Source organism: Homo sapiens, chromosome 20, assembly GCF_000001405.40.
Source record: "Homo sapiens chromosome 20, GRCh38.p14 Primary Assembly".
NCBI lineage: Eukaryota > Metazoa > Chordata > Mammalia > Primates > Hominidae > Homo > Homo sapiens.
The window spans coordinates 59,184,703-59,207,956 of NC_000020.11; the positions used below are offsets into that span (position 1 = coordinate 59,184,703).

Consider the following 23,254-nt stretch of genomic DNA (forward strand, 5'->3'; position numbering starts at 1 on the left):
TCCAATATGCTTCTCCATGGCCTTCTCTTTCGGGGCCCTAAATGTAAATTCTAAAAACCTACTTATGGCATTTTCATGTTCTCTCTTTGCCCAGGCTCATTTGTGGTTTGCTTTTGCAAAGGAGGGCTTGGGAAATTGTCACTTCTTCTCTTCAAGTTTCTCCCACCTCTTTGTTCCCCTCTCCTCCATAAAGCTGCACATTTGCGCCAAAAGATATAACTGTTTGTGGGGGGGAATTGGGAGGAGGTGGGGAGCTGCACACGCGGCAGATGAGGGATGCGCCAAGTTCCCTGCGTGTGGGAGCCTGGGGATGGCAACAGGGTGAGGGCTTGGCATTCAGTCCAGGTGACCAAGGGGCTGTCCCGGACCCTTCCCTCGCTCAAAGAGGTAAGCCTTCTAGCGAGCTGCTTTCCCAGCCCCGGCCCCCAGCTTCCCCATCAGTCCAATGGGGACAATAGGACTTGCCATCTCCTTGATTCAGAGTGAGCAAAATTATCTGCAGCTTTTTGAGGTTTTCCTGAGAAAAGCGTCATCTCCCTCGAGGAAGGTGTTAGTCAGCTGTCATCTTGCCAGCAGGGATCAGCTGTTACTCAAAGGCGTCAATTTCGCAGTGATCACAGAACAGGCTGCAGAGAGCACAAAATGATCATCGTGGCAGGTGTGTCGGAAACATAGCGCTCTTTTCCTGGCATTTCTACTTTGAAGCCCCAAGCCTCCCACCCTATGAGAGTCAGTTCTGGGCTCCTTTTCCTCCTCCCCCTACCCCCAGGTTGGGCTAAAGTTTTTGGGGGGCACATGATACTCAGCCCTCAGCTCCCCAGGCAGGCCCCCACTGAGACACCCCTCGGGTGACAACCCCCTCAATTTGGCCCCATTTTCCCAGTCACTTCAGGGCCTTTCTGGGTGCTCTGAAATTCGTCCTGCAGCGAGAGCTCTGCGTGTGCCTCGTCCTCCTGCCTGGACGCACACTCCGGGCTGTTGATGCTCTGTGTCCTGGCACCCCTCTTTCCAGACTGCCCTGGGGAATGGAGCAGGAATTGCCACTGAGGCAGGAGCTGGACGGACTTATTTCTCCCTTCCTCCCTTCCGTGACCTCCCCACCCATGACCATTATAACCGGGGGATCAGGACAGGAGGCTTGTACTCATCCAGTTTCCTTAGGGTTTGGGGCTTTTGGAATTAAAACGCCTTTACTGAGTTTCTGCCACAGGAAGACAGAAGCCCTGCTCACCTATTCTCCGACTCAGCATTTAAGAGCCAACTGCAGGCAGTGCTTCTGTGTCTGATGGCTCCCTGTGGCCACAGAGCCTACCCCGTGCATTCATGCGTGCAGCTGGAAATGCCAGGACATGGCTGCTCCCACAGGCAGTCCCGATGCAGGCAGCTCACTTGCCCCTGGGGTGCATGTTCTACATGATCTCCTGGTGTCCCCCAGTGGGATTAAGCTCCAGTCACCCACAGTGGGGACTTGCTGGACATTTTGTAGCCTCCTTCACCCCCAGCCTTCCCATTTCCTTACAAGTGTTTCCTGGGATCACCTCCCAAATAAAATACTTGGGAATGGAATCCTTTTCTCAGGAACCCACCCCGAGACAGCATCCCTTGCTAGAGGCGATGCATGGAGACTGCTGAGCTGACGGATGGGGGAAGAGACAAGGGTAGGAGGAAGACAGGGTGGGGGAGGAACCGGTAGTTAATAGTTCAAAATATTATGGCGTATAATTGAAAACTGAAATAAATGGAGCGCTTACTCTGTGCTGGGCACAGCACTTGGTGTTTTCACATAACTTATTTCATCTGAACCTCCTGGTGGCTCTGCCCCAATGCCACTGTTCTTAGAGATGAGGAAACAGTCTCAGGGCCACCCTCTAGCAAGATGGTTAAGCAGAGACAGAAATTCAGGCCTACTGGTCTCCTGGGGAGGTTCCTGAAATTCTCAGCTAGTAGAAAGGTTGCAGCGTCTTGAGGTAAGCCTTTATCTTCCATTCCTATTAGCTCTTATCCGTTCTGGCAGCTACCTGTTAATCTCTAAAGATTCCTGCCTTTACATCTTTCCTTAAACAATTAGAACGTCTCAGATTGTTTTGAAGCCAGGGGCTCTTGCAGATGGCCTAGTGTGGTGAGGTTCATAATGAGACCAGAGGTTTAGGAGAGGGACAGAGAGTGGGTGCAATGGTCTTCTGGGTCCTCCCTTCTGCTCAGTGATGTGCTGGTAAATGTTGAGACTGGCTTTCAGGATGAAAAAAAAAAAAAAGGACTGACTTGTAGCATTTGCTGATTTTTGTGGTGTCAGTGCTTCCACTGTGGCCAGTTCAAGCTGTGAACATGATGCTACTGATGCTGAGGTTGGGAAGAGCCAGAGGTGTGACGTTCCACACTGCCAGGAAGCGTTCCCACCACACCAGCACATCCCACATAAATGGCCCCAAGATCCCTGAGAATGGAAGATGCCATAGAATCCTTAGCAGTGGTGAGCTCTGAGTATGTAGGAGCTGGTGTGAACTGGATGTTTCTTCCCCCCAGCTCCAAATCTACATGTAAAATCCTCACTCCCCATGTGATGGTATTAGGAGGTGGGTCCTTTGGGAGGTGGTCAGGTCATGACGTGGAGCCCTCATGAGTGGAATGAGTGCCTTATAAAGGGGACCCCAGAGAGCTCCACTGGTCTTTCCGTGATGTGAGGGGGCAGCAAGAAGACGGCCATCTAGGTACCAGGATGCAGGCCCTCACCAGGCACTGAACCTGTCTTGGACTTAAACTTGATCTTGAACTTCCCGTCTCCAGAGCTGTGTGAAATAAATATTTGTCATTTAAGCCACCCAATCTAGGGTATTTTTGTTATAGCAGCCCAAAGTACTTTTAAAAAATTGAGTACCTTTGCTCAATGAAGACAATACTTTAAAAAAAAAATTGAGACAGTACCTGTTTACAATTGAGGTAAAATTCACATAACATTAAATTCACCATTTTAACTATTTGAAAGTGAACAATTCTATGGCACTTAGTACATTCATAGTTTTACAAACTACCACCTCTGTCTGGTTCCAGAACATTTTCATCACCCCAGAAGGAAACGTTGTACCCAGTTAAAGCCTCATTCCCCATTCTCCCCCTCCTCTGGCAACCACTATAATTTGTTTTCTGTTTCCGTGAGTTTGTCTATTCCAGTTTCTTCATACAAATGCAATTATAAAACACGTGATATTTTGTGTCTGGCTTCTTTCATGCAGCATGACGTTTTCAAGGTGCATCCATGTTGTAGCATGTGCAAGCACTTTGTTGCTTTTTATGGCTGATTACGATTCTACGGTACTGTATATTGCCGTTTGTCTATCCACTCATCAGCTGATGGACATTTCTGTCATTTCTCTCTTTTGACTATTTTGAATAAAGCTACTGTGAACATGCACGTACAAATTTTTGTTTGAATACCTGTTTTCAATTCTTTGGGGTATATACCTAGACGTAGAATTGCTGGATCCTATGGTAATACATGTTTAACTTTTTGAGGAACTACCCAGTTGTTTTTAAAGTGGCTGCATCATTTTATATCCCCACCAGTCGTGTTTATGGGTTCTAAATTCTCCACATCCTCACCAACACTTGTTATTTTATTGCTTATTAGTTTATTATTATTATTTACCATAGCCATGGTTGGTGTGAAGTCCTATCTCATTGTGGTTTTGATTTACATTTTCCTAATAGCTGATGGGATGAAGCATCTTTTTATGTGCTTTTTGGGCATTTGGAGAAAAAAAATCTATTCAAGTCCTCTGCTCATTTTTAAATTGGGTTGTTACAAAAATTATCTGGGTGTGGTGGTGCACGCCTGTAGTCCCAGCTACTCAGGCGGCTGAGGCATGAGAATCGCTTGAACACGGGAGGCGGAGGTTGCAGTGAGCTGAGATCATGCCACTGCATTCCAGCCTGGGCGACAGAGTGAGACTCCATCTCAATAAATAAATAAATAAATAAATAAATAAATTGGGTTGTCTTTTGTTATTGCATTGTAAGAGTTCTTTGTATATTCTGGATATATCATGCATATAATTTGCAAATATTTTCTCCCATTCCGTGGACTGTTTTTTCACTTTCTTGAAAGTATCCTTTGATGAACCAAAGTTTTAGATTTTGAAGTCAAATTTATTTTTCTTTTGCTGCATGTACTTTTGGTGTCATATTTTAAAATCCATTGCAGCCGGGTGTGGTGGCTCATGCCTATAATCCCAGCACTTTGGGAGGCTGAGGCCAGTGGATCACCCGAAGTCAGGAGTTCGAGACCAGCCTGGTCAACATGGTGAAACCTGGTCTCTACTAAAAATACAAAAATTAGCTGGGCATGGTGGCGCACACCTGTAATCCCAGCTACTCAGGAGGCCGAGGCAAGAGAATAGCTTGAATCCAGGAGGCAGAGGTTGCAGTGAGCTGAGATCGCACCACTGCACTCCAGCCTGGGCAACACAGCAGGACGCCATCTCAAAAAAAAAATAAAAAAATAAAAAAATAAAAAAATCCATTGCTAAATCCAAAAAAGTCATGAGGTTTTAATCCTTTGTCTTCTAAGAGTTTTATAACTTTAGTGCTTACATTTGAGACTGTAATCAATTTTAAGTTATCCAGTTGTCATTTATTTGTTTTTAACATTATTTGATTGTAAGTTTATGTAACGTATCTTTTAATTAGGGCTGTGTTTCACAGCTGGCTTGCGCAATTTTTGAAAATTTAACAATCAGCTCTCTTGAGCCAGTATGAGTGGTATGAGCCAGCTCAATGTGCTGCTACTTCTATGTTTTTTATTATTTTTAAATTTTTATTTATATATTTTTTGAGACAGAGTTTCACTTTCTCACCCAGGCTGGAGTGCAGTGGTGCGATATTGGCTCACTGGAACCTCCACCTCCAGGATTCTAGCAATTCTCCTGCCGTATCCTCCTGAGTAGCTGGGATTACAGGCTCCTGCCACCATGCCCGGCTAATTTTGTATTTTTAGTAGAGACGGGGTTTCACCGTGTTGGACAGGCTGGTCTTGAACTCCTGACCTCAGGTGATCCGCCCGCCTCGGCCTCCCAAAGTGCTGGGATTACAGGCGTGAGCCACCATGTCCAGCTGTGCTACTACTTCCGCCACACCCTGCTTAGAACCCCTTACTGCTAACGGCTGGAATGTGGTTGTTTTCTTGGGGAACGGAGCTGGGGATGGGTGAAATGTGCTTATGGAGCTCCTTGGTGATGGGTATCTGTGGAAAAAGGATCTGGGGACCCCTGATTCTCTAGTCACAGGCCTGTCCAGAATTTCCTTCTTGCATCTGGCTTTTCCTTTGTGATGTGAAGAGCATAGCTGGACCTCTCTTGCTCCCTCCCCTAGGATTTGCCAAGCTACTCCTCCTGGCTTAGAGGGAACCAGTTTTGTCCTAACTCAGTCTGGAGGGGCTTTGGAAGCCCCACCTTTGAGCAGAGACCTAAGTCTTGTCTTGAGGCTGAGGAAGTGCTCCTTTTCCTAGTGGTGTCACCAGATCAAATACAGGATGCCCAGCCACATTGGAATTTCAGATAAGCAGCGCTCAGTGTTTCCGTATAAGCATGGCACGTGTGAGATTTGGGACATACTTATACCAAAAGTAATTCTCATGCAATATTTGGGACATACTCCCACTAAAGAACTATGCATTGTTTATCAAATTTAACTGGGAGTCTTGGATTTTTGTTTGATAAATCTGGCAAGCCTTTCCTTGCGTCAGTTTTTTTTCTTGCTGTCTTCATCCTGCAGCAGAGACTCAGAACCTCAGAGTGGGAAGGCCCTGATTCCTTGCCCATTTTGCAGATCTGGAAACAGTCCCAGAGAAGAAAAGGGATTTGTGCAAGTGCACGGAATCACTGTGAACTTCGAGGACCTTGAACAAGCTGCATGACTTTTTCATGAAGTCAGCACACTTTCTGAGTGTCTCTGCATGTGGCACTGTGCTGGTGCCAGGGGATGATGGTGGCAAACCTGCCATGGACCTGTGCAGATGGCATGTTAAATAAGAGACAGGATTCAGACAGATCTGGGTCCAAATCCCGCTTTGCCACATGTCAGCTTGCATGACAAGTTACTTCGCTGTCTGAGCCTCAGCTTTCCCTTTTGGATGAGAGTACCTTCCTCTCGCTTGGGATGAGAGTACATTCCTTAGGGGATTGTCAGGCTTCCGTTGGGTGATGAAGTGCTTGGTGCAGGGTAGGCAAGATTTACTGCATGAGGAGAGAGGAGAGGTGCCCATGGTAAAGTTTGGTTGTTGTCTGCAGGTTTTCCAGCATTGTGGGCCATCCAGATGATGCGGAATGGAGGTTCCAGAACCCACCTGCCCTGCCCCTCCTGCGAGGGACCAGCCAGCTCCCACTCCTGGCCCTCCAGGGGCCCCAGGTGGCCAGGCCTCACCTCACCTGACCCTGGGCCCTGTCCTTCTGCCGCCAGAGCAGGGCCTGGCCCCCCCCACTGTGTTCCTGAAGGCCCTGCCCATCCCACTGTACCACACGGTGCCTCCCGGGGGCCTCCAGCCCCGCGCCCCGCTAGTGACGGGCAGCCTAGATGGGGGCAACGTGCCCTTCATACTCAGCCCTGTGCTGCAGCCTGAAGGGCCTGGCCCCACCCAGGTGGGGAAGCCGGCGGCCCCTACGCTGACGGTGAACATCGTGGGCACTCTGCCTGTCCTGTCGCCGGGCCTGGGCCCCACGCTGGGCAGCCCAGGCAAGGTGCGGAATGCGGGCAAGTACCTGTGTCCGCACTGTGGTCGCGACTGCCTGAAGCCCAGTGTTCTAGAGAAGCACATCCGGTCCCACACGGGTGAGAGGCCCTTCCCGTGTGCCACCTGCGGCATCGCCTTTAAGACCCAGAGCAATCTCTACAAGCACAGGCGGACGCAGACGCACCTCAACAACTCCCGGCTGTCCTCAGAGTCCGAGGGCGCCGGGGGCGGCCTCCTGGAGGAAGGGGACAAGGCCGGAGAGCCCCCCAGACCAGAGGGCAGGGGCGAGAGCAGGTGCCAGGGGATGCACGAAGGCGCCTCGGAGAGACCCCTTTCTCCGGGTGCCCACGTGCCCCTACTTGCCAAGAACCTGGATGTGAGGACCGAAGCTGCTCCCTGTCCAGGGTCCGCATTTGCCGACAGAGAGGCTCCTTGGGACTCTGCCCCCATGGCGTCACCTGGGCTCCCAGCGGCCAGCACACAACCCTGGCGTAAGTTGCCAGAGCAGAAGTCGCCGACCGCCGGGAAGCCGTGCGCCCTGCAGCGGCAGCAGGCGACGGCAGCGGAGAAGCCCTGGGATGCCAAGGCCCCCGAGGGCCGGCTGCGGAAGTGTGAGAGCACCGACTCGGGGTACCTGTCGCGCTCCGACAGCGCGGAGCAGCCGCATGCGCCCTGCAGCCCCCTGCACAGCCTTTCGGAGCACAGCGCCGAGTCCGAGGGGGAGGGCGGCCCGGGCCCGGGGCCAGGGGTCGCAGGGGCCGAGCCCGGGGCGCGAGAAGCCGGCCTGGAGCTGGAGAAGAAGCGGCTGGAGGAGCGCATCGCCCAGCTCATCTCCCACAACCAGGCGGTGGTGGACGATGCCCAGCTGGACAACGTGCGGCCCCGGAAGACCGGGCTGTCCAAACAGGGCAGCATCGACCTGCCCACGCCCTACACCTACAAGGACTCCTTCCACTTTGACATCCGCGCGCTGGAGCCAGGCCGTAGGAGGGCCCCGGGCCCCGTGCGCTCCACCTGGACGCCCCCAGACAAGTCTCGGCCCCTCTTCTTCCACTCCGTCCCCACTCAGCTCTCCACCACCGTGGAATGTGTCCCCGTCACCAGGAGCAACTCGCTGCCCTTCGTCGAGGGCTCCAGGACGTGGCTGGAGCCCAGGGAGCCCCGGGACCCCTGGTCCAGGACGCAGAAGCCTCTGAGCCCCAGGCCCGGCCCAGCCCGCCTGGGCTGCCGCTCGGGACTAAGCTCGACTGACGTTCCCAGTGGGCATCCCCGGGCCCTGGTCAGACAGGCCGCGGTGGAGGACCTGCCAGGCACCCCCATTGGCGATGCCCTGGTGCCCGCAGAGGACACAGACGCAAAGAGAACTGCTGCGCGGGAGGCCATGGCCGGCAAGGGCAGAGCGGGCGGCAGGAAGTGCGGCCAGAGAAGGCTGAAGATGTTCTCCCAGGAGAAGTGGCAGGTGTACGGGGATGAGACGTTCAAAAGGATCTACCAGAAAATGAAAGCCAGTCCCCATGGAGGCAAGAAAGCCAGGGAGGTGGGAATGGGCAGTGGGGCAGAACTGGGCTTTCCTCTGCAGAAAGAGGCAGCAGGGAGCTCAGGCACAGTCCCCACCCAAGACAGGAGGACCCCTGTCCATGAGGACATATCCGCAGGGGCAACGCCAGAGCCTTGGGGAAATCCACCAGCCCTGGAGGCCTCCTTGGTGACTGAACCCACTAAGCATGGGGAGACGGTGGCCAGGAGAGGAGACAGTGACCGACCCAGGGTGGAAGAGGCTGTGTCATCCCCTGCACTGGGTGGCAGAGACAGTCCCTGTTCAGGCAGTAGGAGCCCCCTGGTCTCTCCAAATGGGAGGCTGGAACTGGGGTGGCAGATGCCCCCAGCACCTGGCCCCCTCAAAGGGGGTGATGTAGAGGCTCCCAGGCCAGTTTGGCCGGACCCCAAGCTGGAAGGAGGTGCCCGAGGTGTGGGGGATGTTCAGGAGACCTGCCTGTGGGCCCAGACTGTCCTGAGATGGCCCAGCAGGGGCTCAGGGGAGGACAAGCTCCCCTCAGAGAGGAAGAAGCTGAAAGTGGAGGACCTGCACAGCTGGAAGCAACCAGAGCCTGTGAGCGCAGAGACCCCAGGTGGGCCCACGCAGCCTGCCTCTTTGTCATCCCAGAAGCAGGATGCCGATCCCGGGGAGGTGCCAGGGGGCTCAAAGGAGAGTGCCAGGCAGGTGGGCGAGCCTCTGGAGTCCTCTGGAGCCTCCTTGGCTGCTGCTTCTGTTGCCCTGAAGAGGGTGGGGCCAAGGGACAAGGCTACCCCACTGCATCCTGCAGCCCCAGCCCCCGCAGAGCACCCCTCGCTGGCCACCCCACCTCAGGCTCCTAGAGTGCTCTCTGCCCTGGCAGATAATGCCTTTTCCCCCAAGTACCTCCTCAGGTTACCTCAGGCAGAGACCCCCTTACCACTGCCCATTCCCTGGGGACCAAGGCACAGCCAGGACTCTCTCTGCAGCAGTGGGTGGCCTGAAGAACGGGCATCATTTGTTGGGTCAGGACTGGGGACCCCTCTTTCTCCCAGCCCAGCCTCAGGCCCCTCCCCAGGTGAGGCGGACAGCATCCTGGAGGACCCCAGCTGTTCCAGGCCACAGGATGGGAGAAAAGGGGCACAGTTGGGGGGGGACAAGGGGGACAGGATGGCCACTAGCAGGCCAGCAGCCAGGGAGTTGCCCATCTCAGCACCAGGGGCTCCCAGGGAGGCTACCTCCTCCCCGCCCACTCCAACGTGTGAGGCACACTTAGTTCAGGACATGGAGGGTGACAGCCACCGTATCCATCGCCTCTGCATGGGCAGCACTTTGGCAAGGGCCAGGCTCTCTGGGGATGTCCTGAATCCCTGGGTACCCAACTGGGAGCTGGGGGAGCCTCCTGGGAATGCCCCAGAAGATCCTTCTTCAGGGCCCCTGGTGGGCCCCGACCCGTGTTCCCCCCTCCAGCCTGGCTCCTTCCTCACTGCCCTCACTCGGCCTCAGGGTGTGCCCCCAGGCTGGCCAGAGCTGGCCTTGTCTTCCCACTCAGGGACGTCCCGGAGCCACAGCACCCGCAGTCCCCACAGCACCCAAAACCCCTTTCCCTCACTGAAGGCTGAGCCGCGGCTCACGTGGTGTTGCCTGAGCCGCAGTGTCCCTCTGCCCGCGGAGCAGAAGGCAAAGGCGGCATCTGTGTACTTGGCGGTGCACTTTCCTGGTAGCAGCCTCCGAGATGAGGGTCCCAATGGCCCTCCTGGGAGCAATGGAGGATGGACCTGGACAAGCCCTGGAGAAGGAGGGCCGGCGCAGATGTCCAAGGTAAAGCTGGGCTTTGCCCCAGGGCCCGGGGTTGAGAGAGCATGTTGTTATCCCGTAAGACCTCTCATGAGGGAAGGAAGTCTGAAGCCGTCCCATGTAGCATCTGCTGTTCACTGCTTGCTTGTTCCTGAGGGAGGCTGGGGATACCACATAGACAGCAGGAAGGAATAAAGGCCCAAATGCAAACCAAAACAGAGTTGCGGAAAACATAAATTCCAAAGGAAAGAATTACTGTACTCAAGACATGAGGTGAGATAGTCTTCATAACCAAATGTAAAATTTAACTGAGCTTCCTGGTAACAGAAGCAAAAAGTAAAATGAAACACTCCATCAGAGAGGTGAGCTCTCTGGATCATTCTAAGATTATAAGCCAGAGACTCCCAATAATTGAGAGAGTCTTTATACTGGGGATTCTGGAGAAGGAATTACTGTTGATTGGACTCAGCCCTCTCTCTGAGGTTCCTGGGGGCAGAGAGAAAAGGGGGAAATGTGGTGGATGCTCACAGGTGTTCTCACTTGGTGAAGAAATGATAATGCAGAGCTCCACCTTGAGAGGGGGTTCACGCACCTGGTTGTGATGACTGAGGGCTTAGTCCTGCTCTGGAGTGGCTTGGGCCGCGGCCACTGAGGACGGTCCTGGAGGCTCAGCAGTCATTTAACCTTTGTGGACAGTGACAAAGGCCCGGAGACCAGAGTCTTGCAGGCTGTTCGGCTTTCCCTAGGTGGAACCCAAAGTTGTGGGGAGTGCTGTTTTCATCTTGAGAGTAGCGGGTTAGTCAGTAGGGCCCCAGGGGTGTGGGGGCTCCCGGGGAGGTGGATTTAGGGGATAGTAAAGGGGCTGGTCACCGTGTTTCTTTGGCCTCCAGTTAACACCGATGGCATAGGCTTTCCTCTGCGGATCAAGCCCAGGCGGGGTTTCAGGAGGTTCTGTCCAGGAACGCTCTGCCGTTGCCTGGTTGAACTTCTCAGGGGCTCAGCCCGTTTAGCAATGCAGTATTTCCGTTTTGATTTCTGAAGACAGGCATCTTGTCTGCAGAGCGAGAACCCTTTGGAGTTTTCTTCATCATGAGGACTTTGAGTAATGTGATGCCAACATGCTTGGTGTTTTCAGTTCTCCTACCCAACAGTCCCAGGGGTGATGCCCCAGCACCAGGTGTCTGAGCCAGAATGGAAGAAAGGCCTGCCTTGGAGGGCAAAGATGTCTCGTGGGAACAGCAAGCAGAGAAAACTGAAGATCAACCCTAAAAGGTAGGATGAGTGGCCACCTCTGTCATTTCCACAAAACCCCAAGAAGAATTTACTATGGGATTTGAAAGGTATCCGTGTGCTCCAGAGAAAGAGTTCCTGTTTCCTAGGGTTTAGAGCTTCATGATTAAAGGACTGAATTTGTTTCCCACCCCTTGCAACTCACCGCCTGTGTATTTTTTGATGGCACCTTTCTAAGGCCAGGAATCCAGCAAATCTTTGAAATAACTGGGTTGAAAACACATCCATTCAACTTAAGTCTGGAAGAGAGAGAGCCTGTTAATTATTTACAGCTTTTATTGTGTTTTTAATTATGCAAGCAATGAATGTCCTTTGCAGAAAAATTTGACAATACAGATGAGCAAAGAGAAGACAATAAAACATCCTAGTAATCTCGCCACGCAGAGATAATCACCGTGAACATTCAGGAGTGTGCCCTTCTAGACTTTTCTTTGCGGTATGTGTTTGCACATATCCACCCCCAACAAACAGGAGGCCCTGTGGATTTTCCTGCCACTCTTTCATTGTGCCTTTCTTGGATTGTCTTTCTCCTTTGCTTAAAACCCTTCAGGCTGCCCGTTGCATACAAGTTGAAAAGCGAATTCTCTAACCCCTGCCCTCTTTCTACCCTCATTTTCCCTGTGATCTCCTCCTCTCCTGCTCGCCCTCCACCCTCATCCCATTCTCTAATCCACATTCTAATCCCAGATCCCTGAAGCATTTATACTCCACACCTCAGTTGTCAACCTGTCAACATTCTCCCCCAGACTGTCAGTCCTTTTTTTTCTTTTTTGAGACTGAGTCTGACTCTGTTGCCCAGGCTGGAGTGCAGTGGCGTGATCTCGGCTCACTGTAACCTCTGCCTTGGGGGTTCAAGCGATTTGCCTGCTCAGCCTCCTGAGTAGCTGGGATTACAGGCATGGGCCACCACGCCCAGCTATTTTTTTTTTTTTTTTGTATTTTTAGTAGAGACGGGGTTTTGCCATGTTGCCCAGGCTGGTCTCAAACTCCTGGCCTCAAGCGATCCTCTCGTCTTGGCCTCCCAAAGTGCTGGGATTATAGGCGGTGAGCCACTGCACTGTCAGTAATTTATCCAAAGCCTGGATATTCTTCAAGGGGCGATCCAAATTCCTAACTTTCCCCTGTAGCTGCTCAGACCCTCAGTGGCTAGAGATGGCCTCTTCTCTTTTGGTTCCCCCTCCTGCCCTGCCTCTATCAATGGTCTGCCGGGACCATGTGTCCAGAGCTAACATTATGGGGCACTTGCTGTGTGCCAGACTTTCCCTAATCGCTTTCTGGCATGCATTGTTTCAGGAGATCCCACAAGGTACTGCCCATGATGTGGATGGTATTATTAGCCCCATTTTTCTCATGAGGAAATGGAGACACAGAGAGCTTAGATAACCTACCCAAGGACCCAGATTTGAACCAGCCGGTCTCCTTCCATAGCCTGTGTGCCAGCTAGTCGCTTGTCTTGGTGCACCCCAGCCTGTCCTGGGCACGCTAGCGGCCTGGCATTTTCTAGATTTTTCTTGCAATGCTTGAGATTTTGCATTTCTGACACAGCCAGGTGATGGTGCTGGCGTGGCCCCCAGAGCAGGCTTGGGGGAGTGGGGCTTTCCTTTCCAGCGTCCCTCCTTTCTCATGGATCACTCAGGGTCCTGAGACAGAAGCCTGACTCAAGGTAGTCTGAACAAAACAAGGCCTCCCTGCCTGTGTAATGGGGCCTCTAAGCCTCATCATCAGCCCTGGCCCAAACTTGGTGGTGTGGGAAGGACAGTCTTCCAAAGGAAAATTCGAGTGCTGCTCTTGGAGGAAAGGGGAATGCATGCCATCCAGACGGAGGAGCTGCATGCGGGGCTCTGGGAAACAAGGGACATCGGCTAGTGGTTGTGGTCCTCCTCAGTATCTCACCAATAAGGAGGAAGTGCTCAGTTACATGTGACTGATAGTTGATGAGCCTGAAGCCTCCAGGCATCATTGGAAAGATGTGGGGAGAGGGAAGAGGATGGGTTGCCTCATTAACAGCTCCCACTTTCCCAAGACTTCAGCTTGACTAATTCGAAAATATTTACCATGTACCTGCTGTGTGCCTGGTGCCCACACCTGGAGGTGGCCGAGGAAACTTTCTTAATCCAGGGTGAGGGTCCCAGACTGGAGCCCAGGAGGCTTGGAGATATCACTCCAGGACACCTTGCAAACCCACTAGCAGCTCTTGGGCCAAACACAGTGCATGTAAGACCCTTATTAGGCCAGTGCTCTAAAACTTTTGGCACTTAGCAGCCACATAATTAGATGTAAAGATTTCTCATAAAAATCTGGATTTCTAACTTTTCTTGAAATATGGGAAGCTCTGAAGACACTGGGCCTGCCTCCTTACATGGCAACAGCCAGATGGAGATGAGCAGTGGCCACCCCTTGTGGGTAAGAGCTGTGTTCCCTGCTGCGCTCTCTAGCTCACCTCTCCCTAATGTCTTACCCTCGGCCAGCCTCTCTCAGTTATGCTCTCTGCCTGGCCCCCATAGCATTTGAGTTTGCAAATTTTGGCCTTACTAGCTGGCCTTGTGGAACTAGACGGCCTCTCCACTCAACAAATCACGACAAGAGCCCATGGATGGGCACAGGAAGGGGCAGGGGCATTGCAGAACAGGGAGGAGTCTGAACAAGGACTTAGAGCTCTAACCAAGAGCTCCTGGCTGGGTCAAATGAGGAGGAAGCTGTTGAGCTTTTTATATGCACAAACGTTTATTGGTTGATAGTGATTTGTTTATCATTGGTCCTTTTGTTGGCTCATGACTGTCTTTTGAGTTAATTCCAGCTTCAAGGCCTTTGCACCTGCTAGTCCCTCTACCTCCATCTGCACACTCCTCCTCTTGCTCCTCACATGGCTGGCTCCCCTGTCTCAGAAAAAGCATCAGCACCATGAGGGCATGGATATCTAGGCATGGACGTCTTTGAGGGGAGGTATTACTCTGCCTACCACACTGTTTATCCAACCACCCACACACATATGTTTGTAGATATTTATCTGTCCATCTGCCCACCCACCCACCCACCCATCAACTTACATATCTATCTATCTATCTATCTATCTATCTATCTATCTATCTATCTATCTATCTATCTATCTATCACGTAACCCTTGTGTTCTCTCCTCAAGAAGGAAGCCTACTTCTTGATTCATTTTCCCACTTTAATTTCAGTTGTCTTAATGTTCTACAGAAAATGAAATACTGTAGCAGAGATTGCTCTATAGTCCTTAGCTCACAGAGAATGATACAGTTCTCTTCTAAGTAAAATATTACCTTAAATGTTATATAACAATATATAGAAAAGAAAAATTTAAAAGATTATTATGTTGTTTTATGTATTTGGCACAAATCATATCAATCTGTGTTTTCATACTTTGCAAATCACCAATAATATATAATATTGTTTGGTGTCTTTAAAGTACACATAAAAGTATCATAGTTATTTATCATTTATCATTCTTCAGCTTGATTTTTAAGGTCAACATTGTGTTTTTGAAGATCTCATCGTGTCAGGACATACTGATCAAATTCATTCATTCTGATTGCTGTAGAGTGTCTCATCCATGAGTAAGAGTTTGCCCTTCATTCATATGCTTCCTAATATTTGTTGTTATCAGATTTTTTAAGTGATGAATATAATTTATAGGATTCTATATATATCCTAGATTTGTATGTATTATTTGCCTGTTATATATACTGCAAATATGTTTCCAAGTCTATTACTTGTCTTTTTAAGCCCCTTTATTTATATGTACCCACATAATTGCCCATCTCTTGTCTTTTCATTTGTTTCTGCATGTCAGATCTTCCTTCTGGGATTATTTTCTTCTACCTAAATCATATTCTTTAGAATTTCCTTTATTAGAGAAGGAAATTCTCTTAGTTTTTATTACTCTGCAAATATATTTATTTCATCATTGTTGTTGAAAAATAGTTTGCTGGGTACACAATTCTAGGTTGACTGTTATTTTCTCAGCACATCAAAGCTACCATTGCACTATCTGTCAGCTTCCATTTTGTGGTAAAGAAAGCCAGCTGTTAGACTACTCATCTGTCTTTTGAAAGTCTTTTATCTCTGGCTACCTTTAAGATCTTCTTTTATCCTTTGGTGTTCCATAGTTTTACTTTGATGTATATAGATGTATGTTGCTTTTTATTTGTTCCATTAGGAATCCACAGGGCTATTTTGATTTGTGGATTGGTGTCTCTCTGTAAAAAATTCTTAGCCATCATTCTCCAAATATTGCCTCTGTCCTGTTCCCTCTCCTTCCTTTCTGAAATACTGAAATAATATATATTAGTCCTTTTCTATCTTTCATGTCTTTTAATACTTTTAATAACCTTGTTTCTCTGTGCTATAATCTGGATACTTTGTTCAAATCTGTCTTTAAAATTTTACCAGTTTTTAAATCTACTATTTTTTGTAAAGCTTTATTAAAGTATAATTAAATTTTAATAAATTGCACATATTTAAAACATACAATTAAATAAATTTTGACATATATATATACCTGTGAAACAATATAACCAGGATCATGAACATATCTGTCAAGCCCAAAAGTTTCCTCCTATCCTTTTGTAATTCCTCCCTTCTGCCCGTCCTGAAGTCCTTCCATCCCCAGGTAACCGCTGATGTGCTTTCTGTCACATAGGATAGTTTGCCTTTTCTAGAATTTTATAGAAACAGAATCATACAATATATGCTCTCTTTTTTTTGCCTGGCTTTATTCACTCAGTATTACTATTTTGAGGTTCATCCATGTTGTGTTTATCAAGAACACATTCCTTCTTATTGCTAACTAGTATGCCATTGAGTGAGTATGTCACAATTTGTATACATGTTCACTTGTTGATAGACATTTGGTTTGTTTCAGTTTGGGGCTATTACAAATAAAATGACTATAAATATTCATATGCAAACCTTTGTATGGACATATGCTTTAAATTATCTTGGGAAAATACCTAGAGGTGAAAAGCCTGGATCATATGGTAGATGTATTATTAACTTTTAAAGAAGCTGCCAAATTGTTTTCCAAAGTGGTTGTATTATTTTACATCTCCACTATCAGAGTATGAGAGTTCCATTTCTCTACATTATTGCCAACACTTGGTATGGTAATTTTTTTTAGTTTTAGTCATTTGAATAGTTATGTAGTGGTATCTCTTTATAGCTTGAATTTGCATTTCCCTAACAAGTGATGATATTCAGCATCTTTTTTTGTGTGCTTATTTAGCATTTGTATATCTTCTCTGGCGAAGTGTCTCTTCAAATCTTTTGCGCATCAAAAATGGGTTGTTTTCTTATTGAGTTTTGAGAATTTTTTTAATATACTCTGATTATAAGTTCCTTATCGGAGATGTGATTTGTAACTATTTTCTTTCAATCTATGGCTTATCTTTCTATTCTTTTAGTAGCATCTTTTAAAAAGCAACTGTCTTTCACTTTGATGATATTTAATTTACCTTTTTTTGTTATGTTTTTAGTGTCATAGTTTAAAAAAGTGTGTCTAAACAGAGCTTCAAAGCTTTTCTTCTAAATTTTTCTCTAAAGTTTTATACTTTTAAGTTTTATATTTAGGTCTATAATTCATTTTCACTTAGTGTTTACATATGGTGTGATGTATGGATCGAAGTTCTTATTTTTGTGTGTGGATATCTTATCTAGTTGTTCCAGCATCATTTGTTGATCTATTTGTCTATTTCAATGCAAATACCACACTGACTTGATTACGCCGCTTGACTCTGAGACTTATTATAAAGCTAAAGTATTCCAAAGAGTGTGGTTTTTGCATCAAAATGGATACAAAGATCAATGGAGCAAAATAGAGAATACAGAAATAGACCATGCTGTGGTCAATTGATTTTTCATACAGGCTCAAAGGAAATTCAGCGGAAAAAGTATAGTCTTTTCAACAAATGGTTCCAGACCTGGAAAATTTCTCCATCAATAAGTTGAGGTGTCATCAGGCTTACCTCATCTGTTTCTCTTCTTTCATGGATCACTGCCTTTATTGCTCAATGTCCAATGCCCTGAACACTATTGTTTTGTATCTTTATTCAGTTTTTTACTTGGGATGGTAAATCTGGTTACTTTTGCAAAGTCTTGGTCAGAAGTCCCTGGCCTATTGCAGTGCCTCCTAGTTGATCTCCCCTACTTTTATTGGTCTGCTAAAGTTTAAGTTCAATTGTTGATGTGAATTATATTTTATTTCCAAAAAGTTTTATTTAATTATTTTTTTAATTTGCTTGATCATTTTATAGTCTCTTGCACTTGACTCTTATTTTCAACCTTTTTTTTTTTTTTTAAAAAAAAAAACACATCTAATGTTTTGCATCTGACAATGACAACCTATGAAGTCTTGGCACATCTGACTCTGTTTTATATATTTGCTCTCACATATGTTAACTTATTTCCTTGTTTGTGTTAAAATTTTTGACTGTGAGTTGATATTTTTGGAACTTTGAGATGTGGGTTGAAGGTGGATTCCTCCAATAAATATTTGTTTTGCTTCCACTGGGTGCCTGGGGGTGCTCGTTTGTTTGTTGTTATGTTCCCCGGGCAGGTGGTGGGGTAGGGAGTATTTATTTCTAATTCACCCACATACTGAGAGTATGCCTTTCAGAGGTCTCAGCTTTATGCAGGAAAGGAGGTTGGGTCTTCCATGTGCCTCTCACTGAAGAACATTCTGGGCTTTGAGTCCTGTACCCTCAGCTGCACCAGAGCATGAAAATAGGAAGGTCATCCTCATCTGGTTTGGCAGATTCCTCAAAGTGAAAGCAATCTCACTTTTCCAGGGCGCAGCTCTCACTTGGTTTTTGCCTTTGAACTATTTCTTATCTTTTAATCAGAACATACGTAAATTTAAATATAAGTTTAAAAAATGTTTACATTTTACGCTGCATTTTTAATTGTTTTCAGTATAAGGATAAATTTGGTGGTAATCAGTCAGAGTATTGAGTCCACTGTGCTGTTGGAAATGGAGTTCTTATTTTTTAACCTTGATAATGATGGTTTTTTCATTAAGAATTTGTAAATTTTGATGTAGTCAAATGGGGCTGTCTTTTCATGACTTTTTGGTATATCTAAGAAATCTTTCTTTACTCTCAATTTCCTACTTTCAAAAATATGCAGATATGTTATCTTATGTTTTCTTCTTGTATGAATTCATATATATAGAAGGATTTATTTTTATTTTTGTTTATAAAGACAACTATGGACCACGGGTTAAATATGGTTTTTAACTTATTTTAACCATGAGCAACGCATTATTTATATACATATATATTTGATCGACAGGGTCTCACTATGTTGCCCAGGCTGCAGGGCAGTGGCTATTCACAGGTGTGATCATAGCACACCACAGCCTCACACTCCTGGCCTCAGTGGTCTTCCTGCCTCAGCTTCTGGAGTAGCTGGGAGTACAGGCATGCACCACCATGCCTGGCTTGGTTTTTATATTTTTAAAAGCTTATCCATATAAAAACAGAAGAAGAATACGTGGCACAGATTGTCTGTGGCATACAAAGTCTAAAATATTTATTAGCTGGACCTTTGCATAAAAATCAAGCAGACCCCTGCATTAATCCACTTTTGCCCACTTACATGTTAAATTTTAGCTTCCCGTTTATACTTGAAGTTTTTTTCAGGGCCTTTCATTCTGCTTTCATTCATCTCTATGTTTTTTGCCAACTGCAAATACCACACTGTAATGAAAATGGTTGTTTTCATTAACAAAACTACATGAGTTAAAGAAGAGAGATTAGAAAATGCAGGATCCACTTCCAGAGTGGAAATGGAAAAACGCAGAAAATTCATACTCAGAAGCCTAATTGCCCTGACATTAACTAGAGGCATAGAGATCCGGAGCACTCACAAAATACCTCCCTGCCTTGCCCAAAGCAAGCGCGGGATCATGGAATTAGATTTTATTGATTAATTTATAACTGTGTACTGTGCTGTATGAAGCATGAAACATTCAGAGACTTGTTCCTAGGAAGCTTCCAACAAATGGAACAATGAATTGTGAAGCCCCAAGTGAATGGAAATGAGCGAGGAGAAGATTGCAGGTTGTATGGGAGAAGGGCACTCTATAAAACCCTAAAATATACATTAGTCGTTGAAGGGGAGAGTGGAGAAGAAAAAAATCCTGGGCTTTGAGAATGCAATTCTATTAGCAGATAGTGTTTTTCCTTATGGAGCGGATGTTTATCTGTCTAAGCCATGTGTCTATTCACTTTAGTCATCACACAATTTACTTATTCAATGAGATAGCACTCTCAGTAATGAGAGCACAATCTCTGCAGTGAGGTAAAGACAAAGACCTACAGATGTGGCCCTGAGTCCACGTGGCCTCTGCTGCATGTGACCCCCACCACATGTGGCTGAGACTCTTTGTCACGTTGGCCACAGCCCCAGAGCTTTGACAGCAGTCCCAGGTCCTGCTTAGCAGGATACAGAGGCTCTGCCATCCACACCTCCACTGCTCTTCTCTTTGCTTTGTTCTTCTCTGTGGGGTCAAGAGAGGAAAGTGAGGGAAATAGCACGTCAGATCTCATAGTTTCGCCCCAGAAAGGAATGTGTGTGGAGTGGGCTGTGTACACCTGCAAGAGCCACTCCTTGGGTCTACTGTCCTTCCCTGAGAGAGCCTGACAAAGGTGGCAAGGGGGTGACGAGTGTATCACCCTCACAGCCGGGTGCGGAGGTGCAGCCTGACGAAAGTGTCCTGGATGGGGCCCCAACAGCACTGGCCACACCTTGAGGGGACTTGCATGGCTGGTGATGGAGATGAGCTTGCAAAACCTTCCTAAGCCAGGATGCTGCTTCTCCAGGAGGGGCTGCACACAGAACGTTTTGGGAGAACCAGGAGAGAGAGAAACGTACCCTGCCCATGACTAAACTAAACAGTCCTTTGAAGACATTGCCAAGGTCCACTTGGGCTGTTCTCGAAGGCAAAAAGTTTGAAATTCCACCTTGATGAAGTGCGAATTCAGAGGCGGGGCCTTTCCTAGCTCTCTCCTTGTTATTTTGCGTGAGGAGAAAGACCCCCGCTTGCTAATTTTCTGAAAGTAAAACCTCCCTGCAGTTCAAACTGTGCCGTTCTTAACACCTGCAAGTGTGTGGCAGCCACCCACTGACTTGCGCAAAGGTGACCCAGCAGCAGGTGGAAGAAGAATTCTCTCCATGTGCCACCCCTTCCTTCCTCCCTTTGTCTCTGCACTTTGAAATCTCTCTCCACCCAGGCCCTGCAGGATTTGGTTCAGGGGTTTGTCGCTCCCCACCCTGGCTCAGATAGCTCTTTCAGGAACCTGTGTTCTTGACAACTGCTTCAAAGAACAAACCAGCCACCACTGCCTCCCCCACCAAACTAACCTCCCCTCCCCCCAGCCGGGGAATGACAGCTCCTGCCCCAGACAGGGGAGGCAATCATGCCCAGTTGAGGGGAGCTTCTCCCAAACACAGAGGCCGGAAAAGATGAACAAAATGTCACTTTCTCATTGTTGCTGCCAGGAAAAACCAGTGCCCAAGAGGATACTGCATTCTGTAGATCTTATTTAAAATTTTGTGAGCGGCCCTGGTGATTAGGGGACTGCGGCTGGATCTTGGCGGTGGCTCAGATAAATGAGAAAGGAAAATAGCCGGTTCTGAGGAGCACTGTGGAGTAGAAATATTGTAAACTGAGGCTTGTAAAGGGAAGGGATTACTTGTGGCTTGACCAGGCAGTTAGAAGCAGTGCAAAGATCTTCTAAAAGAGCTTAAGGCATATTGCAGGCCTGGCTCTTCGTCTCATTCTTTTGCCTATATAATGGGGGTGCTATACTAGGTTGATGGCCTGTTTGTGGTTGCACATTCCTATTAGTAAAATAATTTGTAGCCTGCACCTATTAAATGTGTATTTGTTCATTTACAAATTATACATATATTCTGCTCTATGACATGAAACAATAGAAACAAGAAAGGACATGAAACAATAGAAATAAGAAAGACTAGATGAAAATAAATGTAAATAGAAGCTCTAGTGTTTTTCTTTCTCTACTGTCATCATGCCTTCCCTCTGAGATGTAAATACTTCGTGTTGAAGACAAATAAATCAGATGATCTGGTAGGGCTCCTCCAGATGGAAGGTCTATGAAGAATGTTGTCCAATATGGTGGTCACAAATAAGAAAGACTAGATGAAAATAAATATAAATAGAAGCTCTAGTGTTTTTCTTTCTCTACCCTCATCACATCCCTCTGAGATGTGAATACTTTGTTTTGAAGACAAATACATCTTATTTGAAGAAAATTTATTTGAAGACAAATAAATCAGATGATCCAGTAGGGCTCCTCCAGATGGAAGGTCTATGAAGAATGCTGTCCAGTACAGTGGTCACTAGCCACACGTGGCTATTTAAATTCATTAAAGTGAAATACAATTTAAGACTCAGTTTCTCAGACACACTAACTACATTTCAAATGCACAATAGCTACATGGGCCTAATGGCTGCTGTATTTGTCAATGCAGATTACAGAACATTTCCATCATTGAAGAATAAACTGTTGGACAGTCTGTGAAGCAAGTAGTCAAGACCACGTAGCTTAAAACCTAATTGCAGCAACTATCCTTGACTAAGCCCTTGCTATGACTAAGCATCCTGGGAAGCATTTTGTGACCACCTCATTTAGTTCCTACAACAACCTCTGAAGCTAGGCGCATTATCCTGGGGAGGTGGGGGATGAGGTATGGAGGGATCAGGAGTTGCTCAGAGCTGACCAGCTAGTTAGAGGTTGAGCCCCGTGTTCTCCTGGGCACCCCACAGTGACTTTCCAGATTTTTCCAGGCATGTGCTCTCCAGGCTGGTTACTGCAAGCATGCTTCTCTCTTCTACAGGTACAAAGGGAATTTCTTGCAGAGCTGTGTTCAGCTGAGAGCCAGTAGACTTCGCACACCAACCTGGGTGCGAAGAAGAAGCCGCCACCCTCCCGCACTTGAGGGACTGAAGCCATGCAGGACCCCTGGGCAGACCTCTTCAGAAATAGCAGGTAATGCTCTCTTTGGAGGTGCATCCAGACTGGGCACTCGAAGGCACCCGCCCAAGGCATAGACACTGGGGATTTGGGATGGGCAGGAGTCAGCCCCAAGTGCCACAGGGGTCAGGCCCAAAAGGGAGAGTAACAGAGGCATGACGTCTATGAGACAATCAAAGTGACCCTAAACTAGTGGGGAGGGCATGTGGTAGAAGACGGAGAATTCAATATTGAGAAGTCACCAATATCCTTGAGTACTGGCCACCTGTGCCAAGCTCTGAACCAGGTGCAGGTTCCCTCCAGGACCCAGGAGAACATGAATCACAGCTCTTGGTGCCTCTAGTTTCACTATTTCTAAAAAGAAAGCTCACTCAGTTCTCTCTGCAGGGTCATTGTAAAGCTAAAGTGGGTCTGTGGATGGGCTTAAGAGCCCATGTGAAATAGAAAGATGAGTAGTTATGTGAGGCTGCAGGGTACATTGCTTACATGTGAAGTGGTAAGAGGCACACTCTTCACCATGCTTGGAAATAAATAAAAGGCGAACTAAGTGGGGCTGCTTCCTGGAAAAATGGCTATTTTAAGCTGCAATCACTGGGCAACCGGGGCAAATGGCTCAACTTCTCTGGATCTCAATTTCCTCTTCCTTTCTCCCCTCTCCCCAGCATTAAGGAGCTCAGCCTTAGCCTTGCTTGATTGTTGATTGGGAAAAATGAATACCCTGTGGGAAATGCTGCAGGGTCCCATCTGGCCAGCAGTGCCTGAATTACCATCCTTCTGTGGTTCATTGTTGTCTGTTTGGCTCAAGAGCTAACCCTTGGCTCTGTCTCATGCCTGAGGTCTTTGGCCCTGGGGGATCCTTTGCTGGGGCAACTCTGCCTCCACCTTTGTGTAGCTCCAGTGCCCCCTACAGGCAGA

General features: G+C 47.5%; 1 protein-coding gene across 12 annotated transcripts in view, besides 1 other annotated feature; it reads left to right on the plus strand.

Moving 5' to 3' along the window:
- Positions 1-23,254, plus strand: part of ZNF831 (zinc finger protein 831) — a 135,726-nt gene that overhangs the window by 61,315 nt on the left and 51,157 nt on the right. For 11 of the 12 annotated variants that reach the window (XM_047439881.1, NM_001384354.1, XM_047439880.1 and 8 more), the window contains 3 exons: positions 6,282-10,055; positions 11,167-11,303; positions 22,203-22,354. In XM_047439881.1, coding sequence (XP_047295837.1) covers positions 6,318-10,055; positions 11,167-11,303; positions 22,203-22,354 — 4,027 coding nt within the window. In that variant the 5' untranslated portion in view covers positions 6,282-6,317. Of the gene's footprint in view, positions 1-6,281; positions 10,056-11,091; positions 11,304-22,202; positions 22,355-23,254 lie in introns of those variants that run through there. The other variant, XM_011528540.3, reaches the window with a different exon arrangement.
- Positions 10,857-12,056: an enhancer, noted in NCBI's record as "CDK7 strongly-dependent group 2 enhancer chr20:57770614-57771813 (GRCh37/hg19 assembly coordinates)". NCBI's record gives its function as "activates an origin of replication core promoter dependent on BRD2, BRD4, P300/CBP, MED14 and CDK7 cofactors, with strong dependence on CDK7, by STARR-seq in HCT116 cells {active_cell/tissue: HCT116}" and the evidence as "EXISTENCE:reporter gene assay evidence [ECO:0000049][PMID:35650434]".